This window comes from Homo sapiens, chromosome 7 (assembly GCF_000001405.40).
Source record: "Homo sapiens chromosome 7, GRCh38.p14 Primary Assembly".
Classification (NCBI taxonomy): Eukaryota; Metazoa; Chordata; class Mammalia; order Primates; family Hominidae; genus Homo; species Homo sapiens.
This window is the reverse complement of record NC_000007.14, coordinates 92,005,102-92,018,140: the sequence shown is the minus strand read 5'-3', so window position 1 is coordinate 92,018,140 and position 13,039 is coordinate 92,005,102. Positions and strand designations below refer to the sequence as shown.

Below are 13,039 nucleotides of genomic sequence, written 5' to 3'. Positions count from 1 at the left end.
CACGATGCACAAGCTGGGCAGCCGCCGCTCCTTTTGGATGAGGCATGTTTTCTCCAGGTTTCACTTGGCCTTCTTCATTTATTTTATTAGCTAAGTTAATGTAGGCATTTACATTTGTGATTACTGACATAAACCTCCTCCCTTTCCATTACTCAATTAAAATGATAAAGAATATTTAAAAGGCATAAATCCATAATGAACAAGAAAATAAGAGATGAAACCAAAAGAGATTCTACTCATATAAATCTACTGGAGTAGGTTTATAGATTTTTGGAAAGGCTAGATAAGGTTGTACTTAATTGCACAGAAACAGAGTAGGCAAGAAGAAACAGGAGGGAAAGAAAGAAGGGGAGAGAGATGGAGAGGAAGAATTTCAGCCAAAACATAAATCATCAACATTATAACTTTCACTATCAATTAAATCTTTCAAATCTGCCTAAACATTTTAATATTAACTGAACATCAAAAAGCACCCCAAATAAATAGACACAGACATCTTTCTGGATTTCCTTCTACATGAGAATTACACTTATCCTTGCCAATATGTGCCTTAAGTTGTTTTACTGATAAGAGTTAATAAATTACACTGTGCCATGTATACTATCTTACCTAGTTTTCTACAGACTTTTAAAAAATTGCTTGAAAATAAAATTGACATGTATAATGCTGTGTGAAACTAATTAGCTATATGCTAAGCAACTAAACTCATTACCAGTTTTCTCTAAAACAGAAGGCCCACTGCTTTAATTTTACATTATATGTAAAATTAAATGCAATTGTTTCACACAGTTTACAAGTTGATATATATATTTTAACTTATCATAATTCTAAAAACTCTCTAAAGGGGTTATTATTCGACTTGCAGAAATTCTTTCAGCTTACCAATATAAATTATCTACTACAAATATATGTCACTTTTCCCAATCTCCTTTTTCATGTTCTCTTACTTTAGAAATTCTTGGTTGATAAAAGCAGCTTACAAAAAAGCAGACAATACAATAAATGCAAATATTACAATATATTTTCCATCTCACAGACCTTGCTTAGTCGTGTTTGAAGTACCAAGAGTTTGTTGTATTCTTCTGTTACTTTGTTGAGAAGAGTGTGCATATTTTCTTGAAAGTCTGGATGGTAAACAAACAATTACAATAATTTCACTTCACAGTAAAAGTCTGCATCTTTCAATAAATATTATTCACCTATTTATAACTTAAAAAAATTGCCTGCTAGAAGTAAACCTCAGATATTTAGTAACTGAAAATTGAAATCTCATTCATGTGAAATGCCTGCTACAAAGATAACTTGAAAATTTCATATTAAAATATGTTAATTTCTTTTGGTAGTCATTAATTTATATACATTTTGTTCATTATACAAATGGACAGGGCTAGGAAACATTTTCTCTGTGAAAGAACATCAAAAAAGTGGTGATGTTACTATTTGTTAAAACAAACTTATAGCAGATCTATATTAAGAAAGATACTAATATATTTTTTATTTCTTAATGTTTATCTTACTCATTTTAAAGCAAAAACCATTGATATGAACTTATTCAATAAATACAATAACTTTAAAAATTTGGATCTATGGTATAAAAAGTTAAAAGAATTAGGATAAGGAAAAAGATAGGAGTAGAGAGACAGAGGACAGACAATAGTGGACAGCTCCAATTATATTCATATCACCATTATCGCATTATAAAAATTTAAAATGTGTATTAAATATGAGATTTCATGAATCTGAAAGGAGGATAAAATGTTAAGATGAAAAACAACTTGGCTGGGTGATTAAATCATAATCAAAAGTAAAAATCTGTCATCAATTAATTTAAGAGGATTAAATACTGTTTAATAGTATGGTAAGCTTTTATTACCTTGAACTTCATATCTATAATCTTGTAATTCTGGATCTTCATTTTCAGAAATGTAATCACCAGAATTCTCTTTGTCTTCTGCATTTACTTCACATTTTAAAGCAGGAGTATAATATTCACCAAGGACACTGCATAAAGTCTGTTAACAACAAAATTGTGTATTTTAAGGAATTTAAATTTTGATTTCTGCTTCTAAAGATTAAACATAATTCTCCTAGATGCAAGGCGGTCAAAATGGCACACAAAAATAATTAAGAAAACATTCTCTCCATACCCTTATCAATCTGCAAAAGAAACAAGTCTAAATCTATCTCTCTGGCATGAAATCTTCTTATATCAGGAAGATAATAAACTTCATTGCACAAAACTATAATTTTTTCTGCTTCCTTATAATAATAAAATTTATCTTATACTTTAATCAACCACTTCCTAGCTTGGATCCTATTTCTGATGTTATCTCTGTAATCTCAAATACCTTTGAAAAAACATCACAGGACAAGGATGGACGTTCAGAAATGCTGATCAGAAAGAAATCTATAAATTCTAAAGAAATCATATCAAGCAAAAGAGTAACATTCATATACTTAACATTCATAACACAAGAGGCCAGGCGTGGTGGCTCATGCCTGTAATCCCAGCACTTTGGGAGGTCGAGGAAGGTGGATCACCTGAGGTCAGGAGTTCAAGACCAGCCTGGCCAACATGGCAAAACCCCATCTCTACTAAAAATACAAAAATTAGCTGGGCGTGGTGGTGTGCATCTGTCATCCCAGCTACTCGGGAGGTGAGGTACAAGAATAGCTTGAACCTAGGAGGCAGAGGTCACAGTGAACCGAGATTGTGCCACTGCACTCCAGCCTGGGCGACAGAGCAAGACTGTCTCAAAAAAAAAAAAAAAAAATTCCTAACACATGAGAATAGTTTTATGTAGTTTATATGCACACACAAAAATTGAAAATATTTGACGCGTTGTTCCGGTTCTTCTCCTGAGCAACAGACACTTCTATCATCATTTAAAACAATACATGTCCCATTATCATTTGATAAGCTCTCAAATAACTTTTACCTTTGTTCCTCATATAACTAAAAAATTACCACCACCAACTTCTAGACTTAAAAATCAAATTGTTTATTGCTATTTCTTCAGATTTCTTGAGATTTGCTTAAACTATACTGTCAATTAATAATTAAGTTTATTAAATTTTCAGCATAGCCCCTAAGATGCAGTTTTCTCACATTAGAGTTGATTTTAGAAACCTTAAACAATCACCCAATTTACAGACAAAGAAACTGGGACCCAGAAAGATGGGTGCCATCTTAGTGTTTTGGCTCACTCTACACCGTCTCCCAGGATGTCTCCATCTTGTCCTTATAACTCATCTATGGCAACATCAACAATTAGTGTCTGTTCTACAGGCGAGATAATTTACCTGAATTTCTTTTGTTTCAAACCGATTATCAGGAAAATTTTTAATGCTCATTTTAAGTTAAAAACTCAGGAATACTTTCTAGGCACAGTTCTGAAGGTAGTGAAGAAAACTAGGCTGGGTGATCATTAAATTAGTAGCAACTTACAATTTAGCACTCCTTGTGTAAAAGTACCTTTTATTTATTTTTTAAAATTTATTATTATTTTTTTGAGACAGAGTCCCACTCTGTTACCCAGGCTGGAGTGCAGTAGCATGATCTCCACTCACTGCAACCTCTGCCTCCCATGCCCAAGCAATTCCAATGCCTCAGTCTCCCAAGTAGCTGGGACTATAGGCACACACCACAATGCCGGACTGATTTTTGTATTTTTTGGTAGAGACGGGGTTTCACCACGTTGGCCAGGCTGGTCTCGAACTCAAGTGATCTGACCACCTCAGCCTCCCAAAGTGCTGGGATTATAAGTGTCAGCCACCACATCTGGCCATAAAAGTACTTTTAAACATTTTACCTGTAAAAAATAAGAACATTCTTCAGACACTGCCTTTTGAAGTTTTCCAATGAGCAGATGTAAAGGCTTTCCTTCATCACCTAATAGAACAGATAATGGATTAAGAAATTCAATTTACATACTTAAGAACTATGATCATATTTAACTTATGTTTCAACTGGAAGCTCCCCTGCAATAAGAATCATTTTAAATTCTTTATTTCTTTGAGTTATTTTCCATTGCTCAACATTGTCTCAGAAACTTTGTGAGATTTTCCATTTCTATCCACAAAATGGTACAAAGCAGTGACTTCTTTTTACTACAACCCAACACAAAAAAATGCATCATATATCATAACCTATTACATACATCTATGTAAAACTGAAATAAAAATCTCAGAAATCAATATTTATTCTTCTACTGTAGTGCCATGTACTCCAATGTCTTCTGTTCTACTTTGTTTTTTTTTTTAAAAATGTTGATCATTACTCACTAAACTGACTTCACCACCCATTAATGGACCTATTCATTAGCCTCTAGTTTGAAAAACACTAGCCTGTTTGAAGAGGACATCATTAAAAATATCACATGCTTAAAATCTTATTAAATTCAAACCCAAAGCACTCCTGAAATTTAAAAGTTTGGTACTGTTATTTAAGCCACTCTCAAATTTCTACTTTTGAATGCAAACTTCTTTTCCATCCTCATTAACATTTAGTTAATACTTACTGTTTATGGAAAGGACAGCTTTAGTTGCTTAACTGGTGTTCTAATCACTACTCTTACCTCCCCCAACTCACCGCAGTGGTGTCATCATAAAATAAAAACCATATTGTGTTACTCTACTTAAAATCCTGCAGTAGGTCTTATCACCAACAGCATAAGGCTTATATATGCTTCTTTCAGAATAAAACTTTTTCTAATCAAACTGTTGCCAATCTCTCCAGCTATAACCCCAACTACTTTCTCACACACCTTGAACTCTCAATTTTCCAAAATGGGTGTACCCTTACACCTCAATTCTAAAGACTCCAGAGCCTGCCTTAAAATTCCAACCCCGGCCGGGCGCGGTGGCTCACGCCTGTAATCCCAGCACTTTGGGAGGCCGAGGCGGGCGGATCACGAGGTCAGGAGATCGAGACCATCCCGGCTAAAACGGTGAAACCCCGTCTCTACTAAAAATACAAAAAATTAGCCGGGCGTAGTGGCGGGCGCCTGTAGTCCCAGCTACTTGGGAGGCTGAGGCAGGAGAATGGCGTGAACCCGGGAGGTGGAGCTTGCAGTGAGCCGAGATCCCGCCACTGCACTCCAGCCTGGGCGACAGAGCGAGACTCCGTCTCAAAAAAAAAAAAAAAAAAAAAAAAAAAAAAAAAAAATTCCAACCCCACCACTGTCTACCACCTCACCCTACTCATCCTGCCAGGAAGTACTAGATGTTTCTCCTTTCTCCTCCCATTCTTTCTATTCATTCTTCTGTTGGAGAAATTGTTTATTTTATATATGCTTTCGCAATGGATTGTGACTTCCTATGGGAAAATGATTTTAGCTTTCTCAAGCACTTAAATGAATGTCTAGTGATTATATCAACAACTGGTAAACAAATCACCTTCCTCTGTGGGTTCTATGACAAGGAAAAAATTATAGAATGGTGGGCTCTATCCAATACTTATTTGGATCATGGTACTTATAAGTCAGAAACCATTTTACCTGTTTCTTGTGTTTTCATAGTCTGTAGTTCTAACTGGTGTATTTTCTGAAGTTCCTTGATCTTTTCCTCTTGAGCAAAAATAAGCTCTTCTTTAAGACTGCAAAGAGCTTTATCTTTTTCATTTTCCATATATTCACGAACCTGATCCACATGAGTTGAATAAACCAGAGAGAGGCAAATGCGTTGGGCTTCCATCTGTAGCCTTAAATCATTCTTAAAGTAAACATATGTAAACATTATAATATTCTTAAATGACAAATCAAATAATTTAACTTCTTTTTTTTGCATATACTGACTACAAGAGTTTAAAAATTCATGAGAACTGAAGTCTAATTTTTTTTCTATCTTCGTGCTGTTGCATTGATCTACCTTTCTTTTTCAAGGAAAGTAGCACAATGTTTTCATTACCTCAGTTTTATACTAAATTGTGATATTTGGTATAGCTAGCATGACTCATCTTTGATTTTTTGTTCTAAAAGATTTTAAACGTACAGACATGGAAATAATGAAGTAATAAACATTTATGTACTCACAACCCAAATTAACAAATACTCACTCTGTCACCCAGGCTGGAGTACAGTGGTGCAATCATGGCTCGCTGCAGCCTTGACCTCCTGGGTTCAAGCGATCCTCCCACCTCAGCTTCCCAAGTAGTTAGGACTACTGGTGCATGCCACCATGCCCAGCTAACTTTTTATTTTTAGGTAAAGATGGGGTCTCACTCTGTTGCCCAGGCTGGCCTGAAACTCCTGGGCTCATGCAATCCTCCCAAAGTGCTGGGATTACAGGTATGAGCCACCGCACCCTGCCTACTACTTGCTTTTATTCACTGTTATGTCACCAGGGACTAAAACAGTGCATAGAATGCAGTAGAGGCTCACTCAGTATTATTAAATAAATGTTGATTTGTAGGGTCTCTTTCCTATATATTAAAATTTCACAAGGATCTCAATGTGTTTCTGGGCTTTCCATTACGCTCCACTGACCTAATTGTCCATCCTAGCATCAAACCATACTGTCTATTATGATTTTGTAGTAAATCTTGCTGTCAGATGCAATACATTTTTCTAGGGTTCTCTTGATTATTCTTGAGTATTTACTTGTCTATATCAATTTTACAATCAGTTTTTCAAGATCCATGAAAAATTTCCTTGTAATTATGACTGGAAGTACACTGAATACTGAGATTAATTTGGAGAGAACTGACATTTTTCTTTACATCTTTCCACTATGAATACGGTACATATTGGCATATAGTGAGGTCTTTACATGCTTCAGTGTTTTATAATTTTCTTGACAAAAGTTCAAAGCATCTTATGTAGGGTTTATTTTGTTATTCATAAATAAGTTTTCATATTCTTTATCTCATTTCTTATTCTTGTCAAATTGCATTGGCTAGGAACTACAAAGCAATGTTGAAATAGTGATGTTGAAAGTGGGTATCCTATACTTGATTCTATACTGGATTTTAATGGGAATGCTTCTATCACATTTTATTCTATACTTGATATTAATGGGAATGCTTCTAAATTTCACTATTAGAAATGTTATCTGCTAAATGTTTTAATGAAAACAATTACTGCGGTTAAGAAATTTCCCTTCTATTCTGGATTTTCTCCATTGAAAAAAAATTATGAGTTATTAGTTTTTTATGGATTCTTTTCCAATATGTATTAAAATGACTATATGGGCTGGACACAGTAACTTGTACTTATAATCCCAGCTGCTCAGGAGGTTCAGGTAGGAGTATTGCTTGAGTCTAGGAATTCAAGACCAGCCTGGGCAACAGAAAGACCCCATCTCTAAAAAAATAATAATAAATTAGCCAGGAGTGGTAATATGTGCCTGTAGTCCCAGCTACTTAGGAGGCTGAGATGAGGAGATTGCCTGAGTCCAGGAGTTCAAGGTTGCAGTGAGCTATAATCATGCCACTGTACTCCAGCCTGGCAAGAGTAAAAACTTGTCTCTAAAAAAATAAAATAAGGCCAGGCATGATGGCTCACTCCTGTAATCCCAGCACTTTGGGAAGCCAATGTGGAATAACTGCTTGAGCCCAGGAGTTTAAGTGCCAGGGTTTGACCTGCAGAGTCAGGCTGCATAACAGATGAATAACGTACTCAGACACCAGTATTCAGTGAAAGAGTGGCTAGGGGGCTGGGCCGCTCACAAAAAAGAATTGCAGTAGTGCACGCCCTGACTAGCTGGCCCTGCGGGCATTTATTCAGCATAGATTTAATGACAAAGGCTTTGAGTCAACACACTTGTGGGTAATTATCTGGTCACCCTCCCCAGAGAGCAGTCCTGCGAATGATCAAAGGTTGGTCTTAGGACCACATGAGTAAACAAGCTCTTTAGATAAACTCCCTTATATTCCTATGTAGCTAAGCCCTAAGCTTTTAAGAGAATTCAGCTGCCTTCAACCAAATCTTTCACTGAAGCTATGCAAACCTCCCGGCCTCCCAAGAAGGTTTGTGTCTATTTCCTATAACTTTATCTTTATCTCCCACCACCCTGACCAATCCCCTACATTTAAGACCAGCCTGGGCAACACAGCGAGATCCTCCTGTCTGTAAAAAAATGTTTTAAAAAATCTTAGCTAGGCATGGTGCTATGTGCCTGTTGTGGTCCCAGCTACTTGGGAGGCTGAATTGGGAGGATCACTTGAGCCTGGGAGGTTGCAGCCATAGTGAAATGTGATTGTCTGACTGCACTCCAGCCTGGGTGACAGAGCAAGACCTCATCTCAAAAACAAAACAAAATAAAAAATAAAATTTATCATATGGATTTTTTTTCCTGCTATCTATGAATGTGAAGTTTACATTAATGGATTTTTCAGATGTTGAACTATTCTTCCATTCTTAGAATAATTTGCTAATATTTTATTTAAGATTTCTACAGCCACTCATAAGTAAGATTCATCTATAATTTTATTTGTTTGTAGTGTTCTTATCAGGTCTTCGTATCAATATTGTACCAGTCTCATTAGATAACTGGGTTTTTCTTTTGTCTAGCTTACCTTTCTTCTTTCCTTCTTTTCTTCCCCCTAGTTCTCTCCCTTTAATCCTATTTTATTAAGCAATTATATATTCGTTGAGAGTTGGTAAGACCCATTTGTGAAATGGTCTCAGTCTAATATTTCTGGTTGGAGGAGAGGAGAGAGGGAAAATCTCTATGATTTCAAATTCTTTAATTGTTATTGGCTTATTCAGGTTTTATATTTCTATTTGAGTTGATTCTGGTAGTTTATATTCTTCCAGAAAACCATCAGTTTATGTCTATTTTCAAATTTGTTGATGGATGTTTATTTATAGTATTCTTTTATGACTTTTATGAATCTCTTTGGTATCTATACGTAGGTTTTGATTTTCATTCATTTGATTTTGTTAGTTTGTTTTAGAGACAGGGTCTCACTCTGTCACCCAGGCTGAAGTACAATGGTGCAATCATAGCTCACTGCAGACATCTGGCTGATTTTTTAATTTTTTGTGGAGACAGGCATCTTGCTATATTGCCCAGGTTGGTCTTGAACTCCTGGGCTCAAGCACTCCTCCTGTCTCAGCCATCCGAAGCACTGGGATTATAGGTGTGAGCAACTGCATCAAGCCTCATTTGGTTTATGTCTTTTTTTCCCGATCATTTTCTTTTTTTTTTTTTTTTTAAATGGAGTCTCGCTCTGTTGCCAGGCTGGAGTGCAGTGGTGTGATTTCAGCTCACTGCAAACTCCACCTCCAGGGTTCAAGCTATTCTCCTGCCTCAGCCTCCAGAGTAGCTGAGACTACAGGTGCACGCTACCATGCCCAGCTAATTTTTCATATTTTTAGTAGAGACAGGGTTTCACCATGTTGGCCAGGATGGTCTTGATCTCCTGACCTCGTGATCTGCCTGCCTCGGCCTCCCAAAGTGCTGGGATTACAGGTGTGAGCCACCGCGCCTGGCCCATATTCTTTGTTTTTTGAGATAGAGTCTCACTTTGTCACCCAGGCTGGAGTGCAGTGATGCGATCTTGGCTCACTGCATTCTCCACCTCCTGGGTTCAAGGGATTCTCCTGCCTCAGCCCCCATGAGTAGCTGGAATTACAGGCGCATGCCACCATGCCTAGCTGATTTTTTGTATTTTTAGTAGAGATGGGGTTTCACTGTGTTAGCCAGGATGGTCTCGATCTCCTGGCCTCGTGATCCACCCACCTCGGCCTACCAAAGTGCTGGGATTACAGGCATGAGCCACCACGCCCGCTGGCCCATATTCTTGAAAGTCTAATACTTTTAGTGTTTTCTTTTCTTTTCTTTTTTTCTGTCGCCTAGGCTGGAGTGCAGTGGCGCGATCTCGGCTCACTGCAACCTCTGCCTCCCGGGTTCAATCAATTCTCCTGCCTCAGCCTCCTGAGTAGCTAGGATTACAGGCACGCGCCCCCATGCCCGGCTAATTTTTTATTTTTGGTAGAGACGGGGTTTCACCATGTTGATCAGGTCAATCTTGAACTCCTGACCTTGTGATCTGTCCACCTCGGCCTCCCAAAGTGCTGGGATTACAGGTGTGAGCCACCACGGCCAGCCACTAGTGTTTTCAAATAATAAACTTTCAAAATCCTTGAAAACTTTTCCTCCTGTTTTGGTTATTCTAACTTTGCTTATTTTGTTCTTAACTTTATTATTTCCTTCTTTTTACTTTTCTTAAGTCTACATGCTCTGATATTCTAGCCTCTAGAACTAACAGCTTAACTTGTTTTCAATATTTATAAAATCAATATATTTAAGGCTAAACATTGTTCAACACATCATGTTAAATGCATTCTGCATTTTTCAAAAATATTCTTGACTGTTCTTGTGCATTTCTTCTTCCAGATAAACTATACACCAATTACTATTCTGCGTTTTTCAAAAATATTATTGACTCTTCTTGTGCATTTCTTCTCCAGATAAACTATAAACCAATTACTAAGTTGAACTTCAGTAACTTTTCATTGTGAGTTGGAATGGAACTACATAAGGATTACAGATTAATCTAGAGATAACCTGGGTTTTTACGATATTCAAATTTTCCCACTCAGAAATGAGACTTTTCATTTATTCAAGCCTCCTATCCTTCATTAAAGTGTTATAATTTTATTTACATTGTTTTATTCATATTTATTTTACATTAAAGATATAAATCACTTGAGGTCAGGAGTTCAAGACCAGCCTGGCCAACATGGTGAAACCCCATCTCTACTAAAAATACAAAAATTTGCCAGGCATGGCGGAGGCCACCTGTAATCCCACCTACTTGATAGGCTGAGTTTGTAGTGAGCTGAGATCCACTCTAGCCTGGGTGACAGAGTGAGACTCTGTCTCAAAAAAAAAAAAAAAAAAAAAAAAAAAAAGAATTTCAGTTCTCATGCTTAATTTTTAATTTAATTATACATGGGAATTATGACAATTAAGTATCTTTTTCTCCATTCATACCATATATCTTTTTGTCTTTGCAATGGTTAGGACCTACACAATAGAAAAGCAAGTGACAAAAGCTATTCTGATCTTCTTCCTGACTCTAACATGAAGGCCTGTGCTATTTCACTGTTGGTTCTTGGTAAGTGGGCTTTATTTATTCCCCCCCTTTTATTCATGAATTCATTCATTCATTTAAAAAAATTATTAACTGCCTATCATGTGTCAGACATTATTCTAGGCATTAGAGATACAGGAGACTGGGTCCCTGTTCTCAAGGAGCTGATATTCTAGTGGTTCCTCCTGTAGTTTCTAAGCTCCGGTATCTCTTTTGATTCTAATAATCATCTTCAATTTTAAACACATACACTTCAATCTATGACCTCTCCCAGCATCAATAATTAATCAGTATCTAAAAAATTCCTGCCACTCTTCCTTCTTCCTTGCATCCCAACACTGAAAAGACTTCTATGATGTTTTTATTTTTCTCCTTCTGCCCAAACTACCTAAGTGTATTAGAGATATCTGTGTGGCATCCACATTATTTCAAGCATATTTAGGCTGCTCTTAGGTGTTACTATTGTGTAAGTCACTGCTCGATTTCTTCTGTGAACTTCCCTTCCCATCAATAAAGGTTTGTCTTGGTAATGATGAACGGGCAGGAAGTTTACAGGCTTTACTTTATGTAGTCAATGTCAAATAGAGGGAATCTGAATGCCATCAAAAGTATCTTTTTAGTATCTCTTTAGTACAGAAAATAGAATTCTGGCTGGTGACAAAGACTCATGCCTGTAATCCCAGCATTTCAGGAGGCCAAGGCAAGAAGATCATTTAAGCCCAGAAGTTTGAGACCAGCCTGGGCAACATGGCAAATCCCTGTCTCTACAAAAAATACAAAAACCTAGCTGGGTGTGTGGTGCATGCCTGTAATACTAGCTACTCAGGAGGCTGAGGTGAGAGGATCACCTGAGTCCAGGAGGTCAAGGCTGCAGGATGCTGTGATTGCGCCATGAGACTCTAGCCTGGACGGCAGTGAGAGCCTGTCTCAAAAAAAAAAGAAAAAGAAAAAGAAAATTAGAATTCCTAATAAGAAAATTTGACCATCTGAGGGTCAAATTCAGGTCTTCTCCCAAAAATGCTTCCTAAAAAATTTTAAAAGATGTGTGACATTTTCACAAGTAACTGCCATACATTTTGGTTTTGAAAACAATTCCAGACATTTAACAGAACATTAACAGTTAAGCAATTTGGCCAGGCATGGTGGCTCACGCCTGTAATCCCAGCACTTTGGGAGGCCGAGGCTGTTGGATCACCTAAGGTCAGGAGTTTGAGACCAAACTGGCCAACATGGTGAAACCTTGTCTCTACTAAAAATACAAAAATTACCCAGGCGTGGTGGTGGTGCATGCCTGTAATCCCAGCTACTCAGGAGGCTGAGGCAGGAGAATTGATTGAACCCGGGAGGCGGAGGTTGTAGTGAGCTGAGATCACGCCACTGCACTCCAGCCCGGGTGACAGAGTGAGACTCGGTCTCAAAAACAAACAAACAAAAAAATCGTTAAGCAATTCGAATTTCTTGACTCTATTTAGGCAAGTAAATATATAAAATATCTCTACATTTGATATAAATCATAAATATAAAATATCTCGACATTTGATATAAGATCATAAATATGATATATTTAGGAATAAAAAGAGAAAACTTTCCAATGGCTTCCAAAGTCTGCAAGATTCTCCAAGGTCTGGTCTCTTCCTCCTTCAAACTCTTCTTCCACTCTCCCGCTCTCTCAAACTCAACTACACAAGCCTTCATTCTGTTCTTTAAACTTACCCGTGTCTTTACAATTGCTCTAATTTCAATGTCATTCAGATTTCAGCTCAAATGTCAATTCCTCCTAGAGATGTTTCCTGACCACCATATTTAATGTTGTTACTACCCTCTCCAACATTCCCAATATCCTGATGAACATCGATGCAAAAATCCTCAATAAAATACTGGCAAACCAAATGCAGCAGCACATCAGAAAGCTCATCCACCATGATCAAGTGGGCTTCATCCCTGGGATGCAAGGCTGGTTCAACATACGCAAATCAGTAAGTGTAATCCAGCATATAA

General features: G+C 37.2%; 1 protein-coding gene across 2 annotated transcripts in view; it reads right to left on the bottom strand.

Annotated features, from left to right (window-relative positions):
• AKAP9 (A-kinase anchoring protein 9) overlaps nucleotides 1-13,039 on the bottom strand; it is a 169,812-nt gene that overhangs the window by 92,533 nt on the left and 64,240 nt on the right. For both annotated transcript variants that reach the window (NM_005751.5, NM_147185.3), the window contains exons 9-12: nucleotides 5,499-5,712; nucleotides 3,813-3,892; nucleotides 1,874-2,012; nucleotides 1,039-1,124 (exon numbers count right to left, since the gene is read on the bottom strand). In NM_005751.5, the coding sequence (NP_005742.4) occupies nucleotides 1,039-1,124; nucleotides 1,874-2,012; nucleotides 3,813-3,892; nucleotides 5,499-5,712 (519 nt within the window). The remainder of the gene's footprint in view (nucleotides 1-1,038; nucleotides 1,125-1,873; nucleotides 2,013-3,812; nucleotides 3,893-5,498; nucleotides 5,713-13,039) is intronic.